Source organism: Homo sapiens, chromosome 2, assembly GCF_000001405.40.
Source record: "Homo sapiens chromosome 2, GRCh38.p14 Primary Assembly".
Lineage (NCBI taxonomy): Eukaryota > Metazoa > Chordata > Mammalia > Primates > Hominidae > Homo > Homo sapiens.
In genome coordinates this window covers 9645384-9668950 of record NC_000002.12, presented here as the reverse complement: position 1 = coordinate 9668950, position 23567 = coordinate 9645384, and the positions used below count along the sequence as shown (strand labels likewise).

The following is a 23567-nucleotide window of genomic DNA, read 5'->3' as shown; positions in this document are numbered from 1 at the left end:
GTCACCATGACTGGATGCAGCTGGGCCTGGGTGCTACTTCAGTGTCTCCACCCAGGTGTCAAGTTCTGCGCCAACAGCCCCCAACCAGGAGTCTGCCAGGCAGCAAACCCAATTCTCCTACTCAGGCTGGCACTAGCCCAAGAAAAGAGAATGCAGGGCAATCATGAGCAGGGACAAGGCATGGCCTTTTCCAACAGAGTCCACCCTTCCAGGCTCCTCTCTAGAAAGCAAAGTAGAGCCAGGACATGTCTTTGCCTGAACACTCCTTCAGAGGTTCTTGCATTTTGGACAACTGCAGTTGGATCCCAGAGTTCACTTGCAGAAAATGGAACCCAGGCTACAGAATGAACTGTTCAGAGGCACCCAGGCTCAGAAACATACATAGAAAATGAAAAGATCTTTCTGGATATAAACATACATGTAAAATAAAAATATCACTCCAGATATAAAAATACCACTCCACCCAGCACTTTGGGAGGCCAAGAACGGCGGATCACCTAAGGTCAGGAGTTCGAGACAAGCTTGGCCAATTTGGCGAAACCCCGTCTTTATTAAAAATACAAAAATTAGCCGGGCACGGTGGCGGGTGCCTGTAATCACAGCTACTCGGGAGGCTGAGGCAGGAGAATCACTGGAACCCGGGAGACAGAGGTTGCAGTGAGCCGAGATCATTCCACTGCATTCTCCAGCCTGGGTGACAGAGGAAGACTCTGTCTAAAAAACAACAACAACAAAAACAAACAAACAACAACAACAACAAAAAACACTCCGGAGGGAGTCTAGAGTTCAAAGCCAATTTCACCCGCTAGGTGCTACTTCAATCCCTAACTGAGCATGTCTGGCATAGTCTTCCCTGGTTCTGGTCCAGATGAACTTTTCTCATCATTCTCTTTGTGCTTGAGTTATTTTCAGCCTCACAAGCTCTGTGATATTACAGCCATTTGTTGGTGTCAACAACAGTGAGCGCAGAGAGGTCTCATTCTCTCTGTCTGCAGAGTCCCATGTCAACAGCACAGACTCAACCCACTGTCCTGTCACTCTGGATGTTCCTGTGTCCATTTGTTCCTGCAGGGTTCACATGAAGCTGAAATGGTGGTGTCTTTCTCCAGGCACTCTCTACCCATGGGAACAAGTCTGAAAATCTTCCTCTATGAATGTCTGTTACATCTGCAGAGGTTGGAAGATATTTTTATAGACCTCTTTGGCTTTAAGCAGGGAAGATACATTCTGGAATTAAGTGGGAGACCCTCCCTGACCTATGATTTCTTCCTGTGTTCCCTTATCAAATTGTCTCGTCTTTGGGACAGTTAGGGTTAGGAACCGTCCCCATTCCTTTTCTGCCTCACTAGGGTTTTGTAGTGCTGCCGTTTCCTATCGCGATCAACTGGGATATCCTCTCTGCACCAGCCCATGTGGTCCCAGCAAGAAACTGAAGACCCTTGGTCAAATCTCCCCTGTGGGAGAGACTCCTCCACACACCCAGACCCCACAGTGAACATTTGGAGGTTCATCAGGTGAGCTGTTTCTATCAATGAAATGGTTCCTGAAAAGTTGTATGTAAGTAACATTTTTATAAATTGAAAATCTGACAGGAACCCTGCAGATAGTCTATTTAGATTTAAATATACCTTGTTGTACAAATGCTTAATCCCTCTATATTTTAGGTTTTGTGAATTGTGTTTTTCTAATAGCGTTTTATTTGTTTGTTTGTTTTGAGACGATGTCTCGCTCTGTCGTCCACGCTGGAGTGCAGTGATACCATCTCAGCTCACTGCAACCTCCACCTCCCGGGTTCCAGCAATTCTCCTGCCTCAGCCTCCAGCGTAGCTGGGATTACAAGCATGCCCCACCATGCCCAGCTAATTTTTGTATTTTTAGTAGAGACGGAGGTTTCACCATGTTGGCTAGGCTGGTCTCGAACTCCTGACCTCAGGTGGTCCACCTGCCTTGGCCTCCCAAAGTGCTAGGATTACAGGCACGAGCCACTGCGCCTGGCTTAATAGTGCATGGTCTTAAAGAGGAAACCTTCTCTAGAGACAAGGCCATCAGTGTCCACTGGAAGCAAAGCCAGGCCCCAGCTGGAGGAGACAGCCTGTCTGAGTGCAAGAGGCTGGGAGACCGAGTAGGAGAGAAGAGATATGTCCCCTACCTCCCAGCCCGAAGGAACCTGTCCTCACCCTGAGGGGGCCAGTCCTTAATCTATGAGGACTTGTCATCAGCCCACCTGAGATATGTAGACAACATGACATGGCCTTTCCATACACTGAGGAGACCAGTCCTCAGCCTGGAGAATGTATTTCTATATTTCTTTGTCTCAAGTAGCCTGTGAGCTATTAAAGTCCCCAGCTCAAGACCATATGCTACTCATCTTTGTGCCCCTTCTGGGCGCAGTGCCCAGGGAATATTGTTGGAGTTCCCCCAGCTTCTTCGGTAATTTCCACTTTCCCTGGGACATACCCATGAGGACACACATCTGCATTCTTTCCAATTTTCACCCTTTTTCTTTGCAGGTCTCACCTCTGGACCAAAGGTCCATAAGTTGTTGTTGTTAAGAATTTCTCCAACGTCTTTTTTCTTGAGGAGCAGTTTCCAGGTCCAGTTCAACAAATACTTACTGTATGTCTATAACTGAATGCAAGGGATGGGGCTACTCGCTATGAAGGTACAAACCAATAGTGGAAGTATCGCCCGCCCCGTCCCACCTAGAGTCTGTTAGGAAAACAGAGGGGATGCTTCCCTATGCTGCAGAGATACCCCCAGGGAAGATGACCTTAGTTCACACAGAGCCCCCTGGGGACAGGATATTGACGTGGCCATTGCATCCCAGGCTCTGATCCAAGGTAAGCCCTTGACATTGACTCACACAGCTGAGATCCTGAGACTGCCGGACTAGCTGGTCACTAACGTGTGAGCTGTAGGCCGAAAGAGGACTCGCATACTGGAATGTTTAGATCAACCAGTCAACACCCCTAGGGGTGTCCACATGGAAGACAAATGTCAGTGAAAGGCAGGAGCCAGAGACTGAGCTGGTGTCATCCACAACGACTGCCACAGCCACTCACTTCCCCCTGCAGGGACAGGTTACCCTGGGGACCATGGGGTCATATCACCTGGTCAGGGCCAGGGACATGCTGCCTGGACATGGCTCTGCAGTCCGGGTTAACCCTTCACTTCCACTGGCACATTTTCTTTTTCCTTTCTTTCTTTCTTTTTTTTTTGACATGACGTCTCACTCTATCGCCCAGGCTGGAGTGCAGTGGTGTGATCTCGGCTCACTGCAACCTCCGCCTCCCAGGTTCAAGCAATTCTCCTGCCTCAGCCTCCCAAGTAGCTGGGACTACAGGTATGTGCCACCACGCCCAGCTAATATTTGTATTTTTTAGTAGAGATGAGATTTCACCATATTGGCCAGGCTGGTCTCGAACTCCTGACCTTGTGATCCACCTGCCTCGGCCTCCCAAAGTGCTGGGATTACAGGCGTGAACCACTGCGCCTGGCCCACATTTTCTTATTTAATCTATTAGGAGTACTGATTCGTTAATTAAGTCAGTAAGTCCTTCTCCTCCTGCTCCTTTTCTGGAAGACATTTTGCCTTTGAAGTGGATTTTATCTATCATGCACTGCCTAACTAGCTTGACTCTTGGTCTCTGGACATGTCTCCAGACATGTCTCCCAGTCACCAATGGGCCACCTCCAAGGCAGGACCTCCATTGTGCCAACTCAACAAAGCAGGCTGGGCTACGTGTCCAATAAGTGCTGTGGAACAGCAGAAGGGAGAGCCTTTACTCAGCTCATCCAAAGAACTTCATGGAACGGGTGGGATTGGTACAGGTTTTGGAGGATGCTGGAATTTGAATAGGCAGAAAGAAGAGGGAGGTGGTATATTTAGGTGAGCAAAGACTTGGAAGAAGGCAAGAAGAAAGAGGGGACAGGCCTGCTAAGGAGAAAGCTATGAAGGAGAATCTGGGGAGGTTAGAGCCAAAGGAGCTCATGCAATGGCAACGGGGAGCCATGGAAGGCTTTTGGGCGGGAGTGACACGATCAAAGTATGATTTTAGGAAAACTAAGCTGGCAGTGGAAGAAGAGTCTGGTTTTAGGCAGATCAAATGCCAAGTAAAAGATTCCCAGAATAGAATTATAAATAGAGTTTCCACAAATACAAAAACTCTTGCCCTAGTTCACCCTAGCATCTATCTGTCTGTGGAGGGGGATCAGAATTTGTCATAAATGGAACTCCAAGAGAAGGGTAAAAAGGTAATATTGTGTTGCTATATTCAAAAATAGCATTAAGCAGCAAAAACACATTTTGCAAGCCAGACTGTTACCTAAAGAAAGGATCCCCCAAGTTTCTTTCTTCCTTCGGCGTGTCAGCATGTGGGCTTGGAGGACTCAGCCCACAGAGTTCCCCTGCAGTGCATAGGAGAGATCCCACTTCATCATTAAAGCTTAGCTGGAAGCAGAATGAAGGAAGATATGATGTAGGAGAAGTAAATGAAAAGCCCACATTTTTTCTGGCTTGGTAGATGGAGGAGAGAGAAAAAAGAGAGTGAGGAGACAAAGCAGGCAGGTGTGGGACCCCCCGTATCCCTGTCAAGGCTTGCACTGGGACAGGGAAAGGGAGCATTAAATAAGTTCAAGGTTGACGTCAAGGACAGATGATCACATGATCATATCCAGTCTGCCTGCCATGGCAGGATGAGGTGTCTCATGGCAGAAGCTGGGGAGGGCAGCTGGGCAAGAGGGCAGGGGCAGGACAGGGCAGACACTCAGGGGCTTCCCTAATCACGTAAGGGAAGACCAGGTCACAAGGCACTCCAGCCTCAGATGTCAGTGGGGCAAGAGGAATTCAGGTGGGTCAAACTCATCACCCAGGGAACAGAGTGGGAGTGGACACCATCATCGAGGACTACAAGTGTTTGCTGTTGCTGTAAGCAAATGTAAACCCTTCTCTGATACCACCAGACACCATCTTGAAGCCAGAAGAGGTGAAGGACAGGCAGTCTTAGAGACTGAGTATCTGTATCCAAATGCAAGACAGTTTCCTAAAGAGGCCAATTCAGTGAACAGATGGAACCATGTTTAAACAAGATGGAATATAGAATTAATTTTTTCCACTAATCAGTGGGTGGGGGTGGGTGGACCTCAGGAGAACAGACCATGTTAAAGATGGAAAATTTTTAAATTGCACTCACTTTCCCCTGCACATCAGAGTGGCAGTGAGTTACATTTTGCTCTACCAAAGTATGAACTAGGTAGAAGAGACAGGAAGCTATGGGGTCAGAAAACTGGGCCAACATTTGGCTATGCCCTCAAATTGTACCTAGAAAACCCAATAATCTTACAGAATGTGGTGAACCTGTGCATGTCTCGTTTCTGCTAAAGCCGCTGTTAATAAGAACATCTGTCTCTCCCTCTGAGATGAAGCAGGGTTACAGGTGGCAAACGTCCAGCACTAATTAGCACTCTGCAATAAGCAGCTCTCCATCTTGAGGGGTAACGTCCCTATCTCTCCCCATCTCATGCCTCAGCTCTCAAAGAAACAAGCCCATAAACTGGGGATGGATCAACACTTCACAACCCGTATCATCATGCAGTGTGCAGCTCTTGTGTATATCCTAGTGGAAGCTGAGTTTGTTGGCTAATAGGATACAAGACAGGAAGAGCTTAGAATCAAGGGTCCAGTAGACAGAGGAGTAGGCAAGACCGTCTCTATTACTTTCTCCTCTGAGACTGAGGACAAGTCACACAAATGTGGTCAGAAACTCATGTTCTGAGAACTGAGAGAGCCAGCGGTAGGAGAGTCATTTTTAGTTGCAAAGAAACATTGCAGTGGATTGAACTGATGAGAGACAGGCTGCTTGCTGGAGTCTCAGCAACCAGCTTTTCTGAAAGGAAAGAGAGGTGGGTGACCACACTGCCAGCACCTTCTCCTGACTGTCTTGCATTTGCTCCTCCGTCATTGGAACCTGATAACCAATTCTTCGTATAGTAAGGGGATACTACTGAAGTTTTCAGTATTGTTAACATCAATCAAAACAGTTGTTATGTTGCCTTCTTATATGTACATTGAAAAGCTTACTGCATTTATTTTCAATGTGAAGGGTACGTGATAGCAACCTTAAAGGAAAAAAAAAGTTTAAAAATCAAAATCACCCATAATCCCAATATTCTAACTCAAAACAGCCTTTTCCTGTTTTGCACATTACCTTCCACATCCACACTTGCTTTACAACCTTGTAATCAAGTGTATAGACAGTATGGTATTCCCCTTTTGTTTTCATTAATGATATGTCAAAAGCATTTTCCCACATTTTCATAAAAATGATTAATAATGGGGCTGGGCACGGTGGCTCACATCTGTAATCCCAGCACTTTGGGAGGCCAAGGTGGGCAGATCACTTGAGGTCAGGAGTTTGAGACCAGCCTGGCCAACCTGGTGAAACCCCATCTCTACTAAAAATACAAAAAATAGCCAGGCATGATGGCACGCGCCTGTAATCCCAGCCACTCAGGAGGCTGAGACAGGAGAATCACTTGAACCCGGGTGGTGGAGGTTGCAGTGAGCCGAGATCGCACCACTGCACTCCAGCCTGGGCAACAGAGCGAGAATCTGTCTCAAAAAAAAAAAAAAAAGATGAATAATGGCTACAATCTATTTCCTCATATGTCATATCATGATTTACACCATGTGTTTTCTAAGTTCAAAGCAGAGGCTCTGTCCCACCTACCACTGTGGCCACCACGGTGCTCTGTCATAATGGAACCTCAACAGACCTGTCAGGACATCATGTCCAAGATCAATAATCAATAGCATGACAGCATCAGTATTCATCTTGGCCTTTGTCAGCCTCCAAGGTTTCCCGCCTCATCCCACAGCTGCCTCCACCTATTAATAAGGTCTCTCCTCCCTCAGCCCATTTCCTACACAGAAGTGGAAATCCCAGGTAGGCACACTGGCTCACACTTGGCAATCCCAGCACTTTGGGAGGCCGAGGCAGGAGGATCACTTAAATTCAGGAGTTCAAGACCAGTCTGGGCAACATAGTGAGACCCTGTCTCTATAAAAAATAAAAATAAAAAAGTATCCAAGTGCAGTGGTGCATACCTGTAGTCCTAACTACTCGGGAGGCCAAGGCAGGAGGATCGCTTGAGGCCAGGAGGTCAAGGCTGCAGTAAGCCATGTTTGTGCCACTGCACTCCAGCCTGGGCAACAGAGTGAGGCCTTGTCTCTGGGGGGAAACCCTAGAGGCCCACCACAGTCCCAGCCCCTTCCAGGCAGGCCTGAAAGGAACGGCAACCACAGAGCCACGGATGGTTCCAGAGGGCTGCAGCAGCGGAACAGCAAGCCCCACTGCCCTGTGTTCCGAATTGGTCACAGCCGTGTCCGTTCGTGTTGTGGCCCTGGCCAAGGCTGTGGTCATTGCCCAGTTCTCAGCTCCTGTTTATTTCCCACGCCTGTCTCTGCAGCCCTCTGGCAAGTCTAAGGGCTACCCAATATACTGTCAATAAATCTCTTTTCTATGTCAACTAGCCTGAGTCTGTTTCTGTTTCTGTTGTTTGCAGAGACAACAGAAACAGACTAGTTCAATCCTCATTTTCTATTCCTATCAAAGTCTGTCCAAGAGAGAACTGAAAATCTATTTCCACTGAGGCAGAAAAGTACTCTCTCTCATTCATACAAAGCTTTACTACATACAATATTCTTTTTTCATTATGCATGCTGTCTTTTGATTTGTCAAGTCGAAGCATTATAACTTACCTATATGTATTATGTTCAACTAAAAGATAAGAAAAATAGGGCCCAGAGTGGCTCAGTGAATGATCCAGGGTCACACAGTAAATCATCGAGTCTTCTAATTCGAAATTCCGAGCTATCTTCACTTATCAGGCTACCTCCCACTTCAACAGGCTCGATTTCAGGCATTGCAGGATGGCAGGAAACTAACTGGGGGTAGGGAGAGGGAATACAGAATGGGGGAGGCTTCTCAGATGGAGAAATTAGAAGGAGTAGGCATATAGAACAAGCAGTGATTTCTGCCAGTTGAGGGGGAAAGAAGTCTTGGAGACACATTCACATGCATACACTCACACACTCACACTCACACACACTCACCCGGCTTACACGCCCTCTCTGCTTTTCCATTACGATGTGCTAAGCCTCCCATGAATTGGTGAGCAGCCACCCAGTCCGGCAAAGCACACCTTTGATGAGCTTCTATTTCTGTGACACTAAGTATTCCATCCTGTGGACTTGAAAACCTAACACCCTCAGTTGAAATGACTCACACATTGAGACCCTGGTGAGGTAGAGGGAACGAGTTTGGTATGAGGGCAGCCAGACCCCCGCCTCCTGCTGCTGAACGACCCTCGCGCTACCTGCAGGCGGGAATTCAACCAGCTTTGGAAAGGTTCAGACATAAATGCAGGGAGCAGCCCCGAACAGGTGACAAAGAAACGTGAGAGGTAGGCCCCTGACTGTGTGAGGCAGACCCCTAGCATTGTAAGGCTGAAATCACAGAAGACGAGTAGAGGCCCCTCCCACAGATCCACTGCCACTGACGGAATAGCGGGCTCCGCCGGGCCCACGCAACACAGTGGGAAGCACACAGCAGTGCCGGAGACGCCAACGTGCCAAAACGAGAAAGCGAGGAAGCTGCATCCAGCTGAGCTCTGGAGCTAACCATGATTTATTAGACACAGGAAGGTGTCTTAGCTTGGGTTCCATCGAGAGAAGAGCCTGGGACCGGGATTTGGGAGCAGGTCATTTATTTGGGAGATGGTCTCAGGAAGGAGTGTGGGAGGGTGAAAACCCAGAAGAAAAGACAATGAGTGTGTGTTACTGACAAAGGGTGGGCACCCTGTTTTAATACATGAATGATGAAGATTAAGTATAATGTATGGTAATAAATAATAATAATAATAAAGGCCCACAAAGGATGGTTACTATTGTGGGTAATAGAGGCTCAGTCTTGCTGGGGATCCTCTGAAGAACCATGCAGAATGTACCTCAGAGTTATCCGACCAGAGGATGGGGAAGTTGGAGAATGTAGGTACCACTGGGTTTTTTGTTTGTGTGTGTGTGTGTGTGTGTTTTTGAGATGGAGTCTCGCTCTGTTGCCCAGGCTGGAGTGCAGTGGCACCATCTCTGCTCATTGCAACCTCCACCTCCTGGGTTCAAACGATTCTCCTGCCTCAGCCTCCCAAGTAGCTGGGATTACAAGGATGTGCCACCACGCCTGGCTAAATTTTGTATTTTTAGTAGAGACAGGGTTTCACCATGTTGGCCAGGCTGGTCTCAAACTCCTGGCCTCAAGTGATCTACCCACCTTGGCCTCTCAAAGTGCTGGGATTACAGGTGTGAGCCACCATGCTCAGCCCCATTGGATTTTTCTTTTTGTTTTTTTTTGTTCTTTGTTTTGTTTTGAGACAGAGTCTCACTCTGTGGCCCAGGCTGGAATGCAGTGGTGCAATCACCGCTCATTGCAGCCTCAACTTCCTGGGCTCAAAGGATCCTCCTGCCTCAGCCTCCTGAGTAGCTGGGACTACCGGCACATGCCACCATGCCCAGCTAATTTTTAATTTTTTTTGTAAAGGCAAGGTCTTATTATGTTGCCCAGGCTGGTCTGGAACTCTTGAGTTCAAGTGATCCTCCCACCTCGGCCTCCTAAAGTCTGGGATTACAGGCATGAGCCGCTGTGCCCAGCCATTTCATTGGTTAATGGTTGTCCTGGGAGCGTTAGTCCTTCCCCCATTACCTCCCTCTCCCGACGAACACACACGATGTTCAGGAGAAAACCATGAGTCAGTGAAGCAGAATAACAGCTGCAGTGCTTAACGTGGGGCCACAATTTCCAGAATGTAAGCAATGCTGAAACCAGGCATGCCCAGGCAGTGTGGCATGCAAACCTCTGCTACCCCGGGATGGAGGAGTGTGCTCAATGTCACCGTGGGGATGCCATCAGCCAAATCCAAACAACTGTGGAAAATGTCTGCAGGACTCATGGCCTGGTTTCTTCCACAATTAAATGGCATTTAAAAAAACAAAAACAAAAAAAAGAAGGGGAACAGACATAAGAAACATACCCATCCAACACCACACTTACTCTTTTAAGGATCCTAATTTGAACAAACCAACAGTAAAAAGACTGTTTTGAGACAACTGAGGAAAACGGAATGTGGCCTACATGTGGGATAATATTAAGAAACTTATTGGCTGGGCGCAGTGGCTCATGCCTGTAATCTCAGCACTTTGAGAGGCCAAGATGGGAAGATCACTGGAGCCCAGGAGTTTGAGAACAGCTTGGACAACGTAGGGAGACCCTGTCTCTACAAAAAATTTAAAAATTAGCTGGGCGTGGTGGCATGTGCCTGTGGTCCCAGCTACTCAGAAGACTGAGGTGGGAGGATTGCTTAAGCCCAGGAGGTCGAGGTTGCAGCGAGCTGTGATGCTCCAGCCTAGGCGACAGAGCAAGACGCCATTTCCCCCCACCCACCCCCCTCAAAAAAGAAAAAGAAATATATTCTGTTAGGTCTGAGAATGGCATGTAGTTGAGTTTGTTTTTTTGAAGTCCTTTCCTATTAGAAATCTATACTGAAATCTTGATGGATGAAATTACATGATGACTGAGATTTGCTTTAAAAGACTCTAGCAAAAAAAAAAATGTTGGTGCGAGTGTAGATGAACTAAAAATAGCAAAATGATGATCATTGTTGAAGCTGGGTGGTAGGTATAATATGGTAGTATGCAATTTTCTCTACTTTTATGAGAAATGTCTATAAACAAGGTTACATTTGGGAAAAAAAAGGAAAGCAATAATAGGCTCCAGGAGGCATCATCTATCCACTGCTCGTTTACTGAGTAGCTTTTTTGCGTGTTCAAAGATGAGTGAGACAATCTCTACCCTCTGTGAGCAGAAGGTGGAGGGACAAAGAGGAGTTAAGTCCTCAAGCCTTGCGTGCAGTTAAGAAACAATACCACACCACCCCTGGAGGCCACCTCGCAGCAGTGATTAACCAACTTCCATGGCAGTAACATTGACAGTGAGTGCTGGATGGAGTCTGCACTGGAGAAGAGAGAAAAGGTGTGGGGCTTCACACCTTCCCCCATTCTGGAGCCTACAGCTTAATCGCCTGTATTAAAACCTTCCTTCTAAACCCTCATTTTTATAAAATCCAATTTGATTTCTGATTCTTAACATTCCTGTACGTTCAGTCAGCTAATACACTTAAATACTGTTATTAGTGTTTTGAGAACTCCTAGAAGAAGCAGAATTGGGTGGTTAGGGGTTGAACAGAGAGGCAGGAGAGAAGTAGAAACTTTGTTTTGGGAAGGCTGGAAGTGGGAAAGTTAGGTCAGAATTCCACAGGGCCTTGGCATCGGGCTCATGCCTAACAGGAAGGAGGAAGCAAGCTCTCAAGATGGGGTTAGGGTCCCATTAGTTTCTGCAAAGCTTTGCACAGAGTCATGTGGTACCCCCGGCCTGGGGCCAAGGGCACTGAGCAGGTTCTCCTGCAAGTGCCGTTCGAGCCAAAGTGATCAGGAAGAGCTTCTTCCATCAAGGACACCCAGGCAACTCTGTCTCTGATCCCCAGACTGAAAGGGGGGGAGTCATCACAGTTCAACTTAGTTAAACATTTTTGAACTTGACTGTGTGTCAGGCCACACACTGGCCCTGGAGCTACGGAGACCAAGTAGGCACTTTCTCTTTGTCAAGGTTCTTTGATTGTAAACAACAGAAGCGACCTCCGGATGTGAGAGAACTCACAGTCCTAATGGAAAAGCTGAAGAACCAAGCTTCAGAGAGGACAGACACCAGAGGAGCTCTGGGGACTTAGGGGACAGAAGCCATAGCATAGGCTCCAGTCATGTTCAGCCTTTTTGTCACCCCACTCAAATCCAGATACCGGGGAAGAGACTTCTAGAGGGACCATCAGAAGCATGCTTGGTGGCAGATGTGCTACCCCTCAATAAGAAAGGTGTTTTGTTTATTTGGTTTTTGTTTTGAGATGGAGTCTTGCTCTGTCTTCTAGGCTCACTGCAACCTCTGCCTCCCAGGCTCAAGTGATTTTCGTGCCTCAGCACCCCAAGTAGCTGGGACTACAGGCGTGCACCACCACACGCAGCTAATTTTTGTATTTTTAGCAGAGATGGGGTTTCGCCATGTTGGCCAGGATGGTCTCAAACTCCCGACCTCAAGTCTATCCGCCGATCTCGACCTCCTGAAGTGCTGGGATTACAGGCGTGAGCCACCGTGCGCAGCCAATAAGAAAGTTTTTAAAAAGGGAAGTCATTATCCACTCCTCTCAGTCAGATGCATTGGCTTCTGGCTGTCTGGGTTGTCTAGAAGCAGATTCCGTGCAGGCTGAGCACAGCAGGGAAAGGGCTCCGTTAGATGGGGGTTGAGTCTTTGTTTCACACTGACTCATCCCTGCATCCTGAGGCTGTTGACTGTGTAGACTCAGCCCTGGCATAGGTGAACTGGGGTCAGGCCTGTGGTTCTCACTTGTAAATCTGAGATAATCTATAAATGGTTTTCTCTCTGGTTTTCTTTCCCAGTAGAAGCGGTTCTTTTGTTTTGTTTCTTGTTCTTTGTTTTGTTTTTTTTGTTTTTTTTTGGAGACAGAGTCTCACACTGTCACCCAGGCTGGAGTGCAATGGTGCAATCTCGGCCCACTGCAACCTCCGCCTCCGGGTTCAAGCGATTCTCCTGCCTCAGCCTCCTGAGTAGATGGGACTATAAGCGCACGCCACCACGACCAGCTAATTTTTTATATTTTTAGCAGAGACAGTATTTCACTATGTTGGCCAGGCTGGTCTCGAACTCCTGACTTCATGATCTGCCCACCTCAGCCTCCTAAAGTGCTGGGATTACAGGCATGAGCCACCACACCCAGCCTAGTAGAAGCAGTTCTTACAGAAAAGTTTCTATTTGCAAGAGAGGTGACTCAAAACTTGATAATTGATTTTGTTTTGCTGTAAATGTCTTTAAACATTTTTAAAAACCCTCTAGAACTTTGGAGGGGGAGGCTTCCCTGCCTGGGGCTGCAGACTGTGGTGGGGGCTGCCAGTCACATCAGTGGGGGCTGGGCACACCCAGGACCCTCCAAGGGCTCATTTCTTACCCCAGGGTCAGGGTAAGCATCTTTGGTGACCACAGTCAAGGTGGGCTGGAGCCATAGGTTCTATTTTATTCTGAAACATGCCTGTGAAGTGCACCCGGCCTGGGGAGTTGGAATTACTCATGCCCAGTCAGTCAGCTACTGAAGATAAAAATCAGAACAAAAACTAAAGATGCTTGGGGTTGTGGCGTGGTTGAATAGCTAAGTCACACTTCATCTTCTTCCACTCTCAGCTCAAAGATCGAAGGAAGACCAGAGTCTGACAGTCATCGAGTCTGACGCACTCCCACTGCAGCAAAAGTTTGAATTCCCCTCTCCAGCATTCTGGCCACCGAGTGGTCCCTGCTGTCCTTGAGGGTCTTTGGTGACAAGGAACTCACCTTCCAGGGAAGCCTCTTCCACCCTGGGACAATTCAGATTATGAAAGGACACTCAGATACAGAGCTGAAACTCTCTACCTAATTGTTCCTTTTGGGTTTCACAGAAAAAAAGAAAAAAAAATTTTTTTTTGAGACAGGGTCTGGCTCTGTCACCCAGGCTGGAGTGCAGTGGCATGCTGTCAGCTCACTGCAACCTCCGCCTCTCTGGCTCAAGCAATTCTCGGGCCTCAGCCTCCCAAGCTGGGACTACAGGCACACCCCACCCCACCCAGCTGATTTGTTGTATTTTCAGTAGAGATGGGGTTTCGCCATGTTGGCCAGCCTGGTCTCGAACTCCTGGCCTCAAGTTGATCTGCCCACCTCAGCCTCCCAAAGTTCTGGGATTACAGTTGTGAGCCACCATGCCTGGCTGGGAAAAAATTTTTTTTGTTCTTCTTTCAATGGACAGTTCTTCGAATATCTGATAACAGTTTTCAGAGTCTCCTCCAAGCTATAGCCTCAGTCCTTCAGGTAACCCCTGTGACGTGTCTCGAACCTCCCCAGCAGCCCTAGTGGCTCCCTCTGCATGCAGTCCAGGCTGTCCCCATCTCTCTTAAAGCCTGTGAGCACAAAAGTCCAGTTTTCCGGGTAAGCAGCCTGTGGCTGCTAATACTGCATGGTGCTTGGCATCACGTAGGCAGCCATAGCACTGTGGAAGAAAGGAGAGAAGTGGAGTAGAGAAGACAGGAGGGAGAGTGGGAAAGAAAGGGAAGATGAAAGAAAAGGAAGGAGGGAGGGTAGATGGCTTTCAGCCAACATCTGCATGTCACTTCTAGCAGAGTTGCTGCTGTTGCCGTCTCCCCTGCCTGGGCTGGGCTGGACTGGGCTGTCCCAGACCCTGTCCCCAGATGCCCCCACAAACTTGCTGCTATTCAAAAGGCTGGCTCTCATGGAGTCCTCAGCATACCTGCTCCTGCTCCTTCTCCTGGAGAACTGGGCCCTGGAGAGAGCACAGCACACAGAGGCAGCTAGGAAAGCTGACAGCCTCCCCGCCCCATTCAGCACCGTACCCCAGTACTTAGAGCTGGGGCCCCAGGAGGGATGCAGAGGTCCAAGTTTGGGCTCCAGAAGCTGCTGGCCCAAGGCAGTCAGTGGCTGCTCTGGTTCCAGTTGTGTACACACTTCAGAACTCACCCCCAAGCTTCCACAGCACTTTCTAGGGCCAAGAGAAAACAGACAGGAAGATGTAGTGGAATGATGACCAGGTGCATTTTCACTAACAGGACACTTTCGTACTCATGATCTCATTCAGTCTCACTGGGACCTTTATCTTCTCATTTCACGTATATATAAGCAAAGGATCAGAGAGGCTTGCCCAAGGTTAATCTCAGTATCATTCAGAGAACTATAGTTCTATAGAGTCACACACACACAACGCAATCTCTATCTCACATCATTCTCTCCTCTCCCCAGTCCTAGTACATAGATGTTGTTCTTACTTTCAGAGATAGAAACTGACGACCAGAGATTTAGGTTAGCGGCCCAAGGTCACACAGCTAGTGACTATCTCAGAATAAAACTCCTGGTTGTTCAGGCTAACATCCATGCTGTGTCCACTTGATTTATATGGGAGGTTTCCTCCCATACAAATAAAACACCCCATTGAGATAACAATACGAATAATCTGTATGAAAAGTCTGTTCTGTTCTGTTCTTACGCTAACTCCTTAGTCTGTAGAAACAAAGCAGTTCACAGACACCCAATAGAAGCAATGAAAGCATCTCCCATTGTCTTTTCCACCACGTGCTCCTAAGAGGAAAACTGATGGGCCAACAAAGATTGGCCCCAAGCACGGAATCTCCATGAAAGAACAATGCTTTTTTAAAAAGGCATCATAAGCAGAATACAAAATTATAGGTTCACTGTGTTACCACGGAGGAGGATGAAATGCATATGGAAATAGACAAAGGCTGGAAGGGAAATGCAAACATTCAATCAGTCCAATGGCAAAGGGATGGTTTATTTTTCTTTCTTAAAAATGTATTTAATGACTTTATCATATTTGTGCAATAACAAAAAAGACTCTCATATAATGCACAAATATTCATAATCTGAAATACAGAAGACCTCCAAGCAGTGGTATAAACCTAAGCTGCAGCTGCCGGAGTCCCTGGGATATTGCTGCTTGGTTGACCATGTTCGACCTTGACCAGTTCCGTTAACAGTCACCATAGAGATGGAGAAGAGAGAGAGGCGGAGCAGTCTTTCCACCATGCAGTCTGGCTGACTGCTTGTTACTATAACATTTTGAATACAGACTGTTCCCTACATCTCTGTTTTTGTAGAGCCTTGTCTTCAAGTCAGAGTTCATTAAATTCTGCTGACTTCCCAGAGCACCTACTATGTGCTGGGCCCCAGATATACAAGAATAGTAGGCTAGGTCCCTACCTAGTGACAGCTCATAGCAGGCTCAGTTCTTGGTGGTTTTTGGAGCCTGTGGAGGGTGAAGCATCATACGCTCCCAAACTGCTTCAAAACTTAAAAATAATAGAACCCATAATGTACCCTCTAAGTCTCCAAATCTTGCTAAGTAATTGCTAACCTTGCTAAGTAATTGCTAAGGCTTTTTCTTTTCTTTTCTTTTCCTTCTTTTTTTTTTGGCTCACTAGACAGGACACGAGATATGTATATTTCATTTTTATCCCTAGACTGTATCACCAACTTCTGGAGAACAGAGGCTGTGTTTAATTACCTATATTCCTGGCATAGGGCCTAGCACTGGCCACCTGCTGAGCAGTACGGACTCAGTGTTTGCTGAATATACTGAGCATCCAGAATGAACTCTGCACTGTGCTCCTGAATGAAAGAGTGAATGGATGGGTGCATGGATGGATGGGGCACTAGTTGGAGGGTGGAAGGATGGATGGATGGATGGATAGATAGGTCGATGAGTGAATGGATGAATAGGTGGATGGGTGATTGGGTGGATGGATGGATGGGGGTATGCATGGTGTGAGGTTGGATAGATGGATGGATAGATGGATGAGTAGATGGATGAATAGGTGGATGGGTGGATGGATGGATGAATGGATGGATAGATGGATGAGTGGATGGATGAATAGGTGGATAGGTGGATGGATGGATGGATGAATGGATGGATGGATGGATGGATGGATGGATGGATGGATGGTTAGATGGATGAGTGGATGGATGAATAGGTGGATGGGTGGATGGGTGGATGGGTGGATGGATGATGGAAGGATGGATGAATGGATGGATGGATGGATGGATGGAGAGTAAGTCACTGCATCAAGATACAGATGCACAAGTTGGGAAACAGGAGGAAAGTTTAATCAAGAACTATTCACGAAGCGGAGGAAAATGTTTATGGCAATCAGTAATGGATGCAGTTCCCTGGGGTAAGAAACAGAAGGAGCAGTTACCACCCCTAGTCCTGAGGGACAAAGGGAAAAAAATAATGACCAGAACCCAAAGAGAGGAACTGACCAGAGAGGAAGCATCAGGGAGAGGGAAGTAGGCAGGTCACACATACAATGTGTGGCCTTTTCCTACTGACTTTTTTCTTTTCTTTTTTTTTTTTTTGATTATACTTTAAGTTCTAGGGTACATGTGCACAATGTGCAGGTTTGTTACATATATATACACGTGCCATGTTGGTGTGCTGCACCCATTAAGTCATCATTTACATTAGGTATATCTCCTAATGCTATCCCTCCCCGCTCCCCCGACCCCACAACAGGCCCTGGTGTGTGATGTTCCCCACTGTGTCCAAATGTTCTTATTGTTCAATTCCCACCTATGAGTGAGAACATGCGGTGTTTGGTTTTCTGTCCTTGCGACAGTTTGGTCAAGATGATGATTTCCAGCTTCATCCATGTCCCTACAAAGAACATGAACTCACCCCTTTTTATGGCTGCATAGTGTTCCATGGTGTATATGAGACACATTTTCTTAATCCAGTCTATCATTGATGGACATTTGGTTTGGTTCCAAGTCTTCGCTATTGTGAATAGTGCCGCAATAAACATACAAGTGTATGTGTCTTTATAGCAGCATGATTTATAATCCTCTGGGTATGTACCCAGTAATGGGATGGCTGGGTCAAATGGTATTTCTAGTTCTAGATCCTTGAGGAATCGCCACACTGTCTTCCACAATGGTTGAACTAGTTTACAGTCCCACCAACAGTGTAAAAGTGTTCCTATTTCTCCACATCCTCTCCAGCACCTGTTGTTTCCTGACTTTTTAATGTTTGCCATTCTAACTGGTGTGAGATGGTATCTCATTGTGGTTTTGACTTGCACCTCTCTGATGGCCAGTGATGATGAGCATTTTTTCATGTGTCTGTTGGCTGCATAAATGTCTTCTTTTGAGAAGTGTCTGCCCATATCCTTTGCCCACTTTTTGATGGGGTTGTTTGATTTTTTTCTTGTACATTTGTTTATTTGTAGATTCTGGATATTAGCCCTTTGCCCACTGACTTTTTTCGTGTAGCATAATGTCTTCAAGGTTTATGCATGTTGCATTTTATTTCCTTTGTTGTCTAATAGCATTCCATCCTGTCGATCTTGTTTATCTGGAATGCATTATGGATGCTGCTATGAGCATTTGTGTGCAAGTTTTTGTGTGTACATATGTTTTCATTTCTCTTGGAAATATATGCAGCGGTGGAATGGCAGGGTCATGTGGTAACTCTGTTTAGCCTTTTGAGGAACTGCTAGACAATTTTCCAGCCACTGTTAAGTGTCTGCCCCAGTTAACATTCTCACCAGCAGCACACAAGGGCTCCAGTGCCTCCACATCCTCATCAACACATTATGATCTGTCTTTTTGATATGTAGCTGTCTTTTGATGCATCCTAGTGGGTGTGAAGTGGTGTCTCATTGTAGGTTTCATTTGCATTTCCCTGAGAGCTAATGGCAAACATAGTTTTGCCTTGTTACTTCATCTGCAGCAGTGTCAGTAAAAGACAGTGTGTTAGGTTTGGAGGGAACTTGGATGTCACTGCTCCAACTTTGTCATTTTCTAGATGGGAAAACGAAGGCTCAGAGCAGACCAGGGGCTTGCCCACATTCACGCAATCAGTCAGGGGAAACCCTGGGGGTAGGGCTCAGGTTTTCTGACCCTTAGACTGTGACTTCTTTCTCTGTCATCTGGATCAGAGGACAGGTGCTATGCCCCTCCAGTGCTGTCCCCACCCTTCTTCACCCTGCACTACGCCCAGAGAGGCTGGGGCATACCAGCTACATCAATGCATCCCTTGCCCTCTAGTTTCTTTCTTTCTTTCTTTCTTTTTTTTTTTTTTGAGATGGAGTCTCACTCTCTCTCCTGGGCTGGAGTGCAGTGGTGTGATCTCAACTCACTGCAACCTCCATCTCCCAGGTTCAAGTGATTCACCTGCCTCAGCTTCCCGAGTAATTGGGACTACAGGTGCGCACCACCATGCCCAGTTACTTTTTGTATTTTTAGTAGAGATGGGGTTTCACCATGTTGGCCAGGCTGGTCTCGAACTCCTGACCTCAGATGATCCACCCACCTGGGCCTCCCAAAGTGCTGGGATTACAGGTGTGAGCCACCGTGCCTGGCCCTGGTTTCTTTCTTTTTTTTTTTTTTCTTTTTCTTTTCCTTTTTTTTGAGGCGGAGTCTCGCTCTGTTGCCCAGGCTGGAGTGCAGTGGCACCATCTCAGCTCACTGCAACCTCCACCTGCCAAGCTCAGCACCAGCACACCCTGCTAATTTTTGTATTTTTTGTAGAGACAGAGTTTCACCATGTTGCCCAGGCTGGACTTGAACTCTTGGCCTCCCAAAGCGCTGGGATTACAGGAATGAACCACGGCACCCGGCCGCCCTCTAGTTTCTTATGGGGTTCAGCCAGTGGAAGGCACCAGCTAGAGACTGGCATGCAGGAAGTGCTGAGGCTGTGTGACCTGGTTCCCTTGAGGGTGGACCAAAGAGTGAAGACAGGCTGGGAGGGAGACTTGGTCAGGTGAGCAGCCAGCCAGCAGGAGCCTCTTTCAGAGGAAGATGTGGGTTTATTTATCTCTCTTGCTCTCTCTTATGCAGAAAGCTCTTCACTGCTGCTCAGCCCTGGAGAGGGGGAGGAGGGGCAAAGCTCCCCCGAACCCCACACCCCCTCGCAAGTGATTGCTAATATTTATCATGTGTTTGCCAAGTGCCAGGACAATAGCAAACACCTCAAAGGCATTAGCTCATTTTATATTTGCAGGAACCCTAGGAGGCAAGTCCAGTTTCCAGATGAGGACGTTCAGGTGTGGAAGGAGTAGCTGTCAAGGTCACGCAGCAATGCAGGTGCAGTCGGTGGCAGGACCAGACATAGAAACTCCTGTTTTGGCACAATCCAGACTCCATTCTTCACCCCGCCCCCAACCCTGCATTCTGCTGCAGCGCCAGGCTGTGCCACCGAGAGGTCACCATCTGTAGCACCCACCTGGCTGCCTCGAGGTCTAGAGTCCTGGGACTGTGACGGGACCAGGTACCAGCTGGGAGGCAGGCCATCCATAAAGGCCTAATGGGAGCTGAGCAGGCCTCACTGGGCATGGAAAACAGCCCTCCCTACTGCGTCACGGGTCACTGTTGCACCTGGGGAGGGAGGAAATCCAGGTGTGTTATACTCGCGGCACATCTCAATGCAGACTCATCACGTTTCAAGCGTTCAATAGCCACGTGTGCTTAGTGGCTACCATGTTAGTGCATTTTGAAATGAAATTTCATAATAAATTTTTAATAATAAAGGCTCAGGAAAAGCAGGTAACCTTCCCAAGGTCACATAACTGGAAATGGCAGCATTGAGGTGTGAACCTTGCCTGTCTGACACCAGACCTGGGCATTGCCCACTACCCCACACAACGAGGGGCCTCAGGGTGCAGATCTGGGTGTGGTTTGGAACATCGCATCCTGCACTGCCTGGCCAGAGGGGCTGCCTGCTGACTTCCAGCTCAGCCTCCCGGTTATGAAGATAGCACTCAGCGGGTACGGGGTGGGGTAGGGAGGCAGAAAGATGCAGTCTGTATGTCCTGCAGGGAGGACTTGCACCCAAAAAGCCAAGGGATCCCTAGCGGTTGAGGCTGTAACCCAGAGACAATCAGTCATTTTCTGCCACTCATTCCTGTCTCAGCAAAGCCCACCTGGTTGCAGGGCCCAGCCCTCCCCGGGAAAGCCAGGAGCATGCTGTTTCCAAACTCCCAATATTTGCCGTCCTTGCAAACCAATAAGGCCGCAGCTCGCAAAGAATGCTGATGGAATCAGTGGCATCTGAAGGTGACTTTGAAAAAGAACAGGAGTACTGCTGAAACAGCTCACTCAATGACAGGGACATCAATGAGAGAACTAGAGAGGGATCAATACCCTGAAGGTGAACCGTTTGCAAACTGGAACCACTATTGAGCAACTGACAAGCCAGCCTCAGAAGTGGGCAACCACAGGAACATAAAGGGAGGTGCTTACAAGCCCCCAAACCCATCTTTTTTTTCAAGCAGAGAATTCTGCTTATGCACGTGTGATGGAAGTCTCTTTACCAAATCATGAGTCTCTTTGATTTTCAGAGCTTCAAAAGAGATCCTGGATTCCTTTGACCTGAGTATCATTTCACATACCACTTCAGGTCTCAATAAATAAGAAATGGTTTCAGTTCTGAAGGGCCTGCTTTACCACATAGTGCAAGGGTCTGGAACCAGAGCCAGGACTGGGAAATTGAGAGATCTGGATTCAAGTCTTGGTTCTGCCATTAACCAACTGGGAGCTCTCAGATACCACATTTACCTAGTCTGAGCTGCAGTTTCCCCTTCTATAAAGTGGGTCCAGATGACATGTGGTGTCCAAGGTGTGCCCATTCCTTGGTGACAAGGGGGAATAAGGATTGCTGGGAGAATTCGAAGAAAAATATCTCGCATATAGAAGGAGCTTAATAAGTGATTGTAAATTGAATGAAGGTAACAGGTAAATTCTAGATCCCTCTGGGCTCCATTTACCATTTTTTGTGTTGTCACTCCCACCCACCTCCTCTGCCCCATCTCTCACTTTCCCTCCCTGGTACTTGAAGCTCCCAGCATTATCTCCCTGTTTGTATCTTCCTGCGCATGCTGCTTTTCATGTCTTTGCATATGCCGTTTCTCCTGCCTCAAATTCCCTTCCATCCTGCACTGGCTTGCCTAACCCTTATTCATTCTTTAAAACCCAAGGTAGGTGTCATTTACTCCTGACCTCCCTTCCTGCACATTATGAGTGAGTTTCCATTCCCAAACAGCATTGATCTCTTCTTCTCTGGGGCTGCCTCAGCACTGTGGAGACTTTTTTCCCTTTGTGTACAGAATTGTACTGTAATTGATTTTTATCCCCACTGAACTGGGACTCCCCAAGGGCAGGGACTCCTTGTTCCTCATTGTGGCCCCAGCCTGGGACCATGCTCAGGAAGATGGGTATGGTTCTAACATGCCTCACAGCACCTTATTCCTCTGAGAAGGCCCGAGGATGTGCCGGACATCCTATCTGGGGGGGCTTTGGTCCCCTGAAGAATCCAGGCTGTCCTATATCCGGGAGATCCCTTCCCCAAACACTCCCCAGAGATACGTTCTCCCTGCAACTAAACACGAGGCTGGCTCTACGGGGGCTGGGCGCTGGCGAGAGCCTGGTGAGGAGCCCTCTTTACAGCCAGGACACACCAAGCCCTCCCTTCCTCTTCTTCCTCCATTGCTGCCATTATCCATTAAAGCAGCACTGCCCCAGAGGACCAGGAGAGCCGGAGGAGTAGACAGATTATAGGGAGTTCTCCTCCACCCATTCCCTCTCCTCCCCTCTAGCTCTCTTTCTCCTTTAAAAAAAACATTTGTGGGCAGCTTACCATGGGATCCACATTACTTATCACAGCTGCTTGGGATACAGAAACCAACATCACAGCCCCTGCCTTGGGAGAGCTCATGGGCTAGTGGGAGGAAGCACAGAAGGAAACGCATGGTTGCAAGGGACGGCAGGAAATGCAATGCTGAGGTCCACCAGGTGCCAGCATGCAATGAGAGAGCAAGGGGCAGGGCGAGGGCAGACACTGTGCAGATGGTGCCCTGTCCCGGCCCTCGCTGAACAGGGGAGGGAGCTTGAAGAACAGCCTGCACCCTTGGTGGGCTGCCTCTGCCGCGCCTCTTCTCTGGGTGTCTCCTGAACCTTGCAAAAGCACAGTGGTGGGCAGTGGTGGCCCTAGGGTCAGGGCTGTTTGGAAAAGAGTCGGAGAAAATTTAGAAGAGGAGAACCTTGGTTTTTTTTGTTGTTTTTTTTTGAGATGGAGTCTCGCTCTGTCGCCCAGGCTGGAGTGCAGTGGCGCCATCTCAGCTCACTGCAAGCTCCGCCTCCCAGGTTCACGCCGTTCTCCTGCCTCAGCCTCCCAAGTAGCTGGGACTACAGGCGCCCACCACCATGCCTGGCTAATTTTTTGTAATTTTAGTAGAGACGGGGTTTCACTGTGTTAGCCAGGATGATCTCGATCTCCTGACCTCATGATCCACCCGCCTCGGCCTCCCAAAGTGCTGGGATTACAGGCATGAGCCACCGCGCCCGGCCGAGAACCTTGGTCTTAAAGGATGAGTGGACCCTTGTCAGTAACAAAGAGTGGGACATTCCAGGTAGAGGGAAGAGCATGATGCAGGGAGGGAGGAGGGCGGAAGAGGGGCTGGTGAACAGGGGGACTGCCAGAGAAAGTGGAGCGGCGGGCAAGGACCAGGACTGGGGGCCTGATGCCACGCCCAGGGGTTTAATTATCCTGGGCAGGTGAAAAGCCATGGAAGGGGTGCATATGCGGGAGTGACATCATCTGCCTCTCCTTCCACTTATGTCTCCCAGAACCTCTAGGCTCTCTGTAGGTAGAGCCACAAACACTACTCACGTGCCATGTGTTGAGTTTCTCAGCCTCCTCAGGATTAGCCCGAGCAGCACTTCACTCTCCTGAAGCAGCCACGTCCTCGCACAGCTTTTCTCGCTGGGAACCCATCAATGCAGCTCTGCAGTGCACTGAGTCTGAACCCCACTGCCAGGAGTGACAGTCAAAATACCTCACCTCCCACC

General features: G+C 48.0%; 2 long non-coding RNA genes across 10 annotated transcripts in view, besides 8 other annotated features; both read right to left on the bottom strand.

Moving 5' to 3' along the window:
* LOC105373418 (uncharacterized) overlaps positions 1–23567 on the bottom strand; it is a 74555-nt gene that overhangs the window by 44349 nt on the left and 6639 nt on the right. For 3 of the 9 annotated variants that reach the window (NR_187869.1, NR_187868.1, NR_187870.1), the window contains one exon: positions 19512–20099. The exons of 4 other annotated variants lie outside the window; for them this stretch is intronic. This is a non-coding gene — a long non-coding RNA (uncharacterized LOC105373418). Of the gene's footprint in view, positions 1–19511; positions 20100–23567 lie in introns of those variants that run through there. 2 more of the 9 variants (NR_187864.1, NR_187866.1) reach the window with 1 other exon arrangement.
* LOC105373419 (uncharacterized) lies at positions 7668–8474 on the bottom strand. The gene is made up of 2 exons (XR_922779.2): positions 8114–8474; positions 7668–7945 (listed from the first exon to the last, which is right to left on the bottom strand). It is a non-coding gene; the product is annotated as an uncharacterized LOC105373419 (long non-coding RNA).
* Positions 10704–11264: an enhancer, noted in NCBI's record as "NANOG hESC enhancer chr2:9797816-9798376 (GRCh37/hg19 assembly coordinates)". NCBI's record gives its function as "activates a minimal SCP1, AML or CMV promoter by ChIP-STARR-seq in naive H9 embryonic stem cells {active_cell/tissue: H9 hESC(naive)}" and the evidence as "EXISTENCE:reporter gene assay evidence [ECO:0000049][PMID:30033119]".
* Positions 11993–12162: an enhancer, noted in NCBI's record as "active region_15288". NCBI's record gives its function as "activates an Ori minimal core promoter by ATAC-STARR-seq in GM12878 lymphoblastoid cells {active_cell/tissue: GM12878}" and the evidence as "EXISTENCE:reporter gene assay evidence [ECO:0000049][PMID:35858748]".
* Positions 12120–12621: an enhancer, noted in NCBI's record as "H3K27ac hESC enhancer chr2:9796459-9796960 (GRCh37/hg19 assembly coordinates)". NCBI's record gives its function as "activates a minimal SCP1, AML or CMV promoter by ChIP-STARR-seq in naive H9 embryonic stem cells {active_cell/tissue: H9 hESC(naive)}" and the evidence as "EXISTENCE:reporter gene assay evidence [ECO:0000049][PMID:30033119]".
* Positions 12673–12772: an enhancer, noted in NCBI's record as "active region_15287". NCBI's record gives its function as "activates an Ori minimal core promoter by ATAC-STARR-seq in GM12878 lymphoblastoid cells {active_cell/tissue: GM12878}" and the evidence as "EXISTENCE:reporter gene assay evidence [ECO:0000049][PMID:35858748]".
* Positions 13403–13642: an enhancer, noted in NCBI's record as "active region_15286". NCBI's record gives its function as "activates an Ori minimal core promoter by ATAC-STARR-seq in GM12878 lymphoblastoid cells {active_cell/tissue: GM12878}" and the evidence as "EXISTENCE:reporter gene assay evidence [ECO:0000049][PMID:35858748]".
* Positions 13966–14075: an enhancer, noted in NCBI's record as "active region_15285". NCBI's record gives its function as "activates an Ori minimal core promoter by ATAC-STARR-seq in GM12878 lymphoblastoid cells {active_cell/tissue: GM12878}" and the evidence as "EXISTENCE:reporter gene assay evidence [ECO:0000049][PMID:35858748]".
* Positions 18058–18639: an enhancer, noted in NCBI's record as "NANOG hESC enhancer chr2:9790441-9791022 (GRCh37/hg19 assembly coordinates)". NCBI's record gives its function as "activates a minimal SCP1, AML or CMV promoter by ChIP-STARR-seq in naive H9 embryonic stem cells {active_cell/tissue: H9 hESC(naive)}" and the evidence as "EXISTENCE:reporter gene assay evidence [ECO:0000049][PMID:30033119]".
* Positions 19371–19880: an enhancer, noted in NCBI's record as "H3K4me1 hESC enhancer chr2:9789200-9789709 (GRCh37/hg19 assembly coordinates)". NCBI's record gives its function as "activates a minimal SCP1, AML or CMV promoter by ChIP-STARR-seq in primed H9 embryonic stem cells {active_cell/tissue: H9 hESC(primed)}" and the evidence as "EXISTENCE:reporter gene assay evidence [ECO:0000049][PMID:30033119]".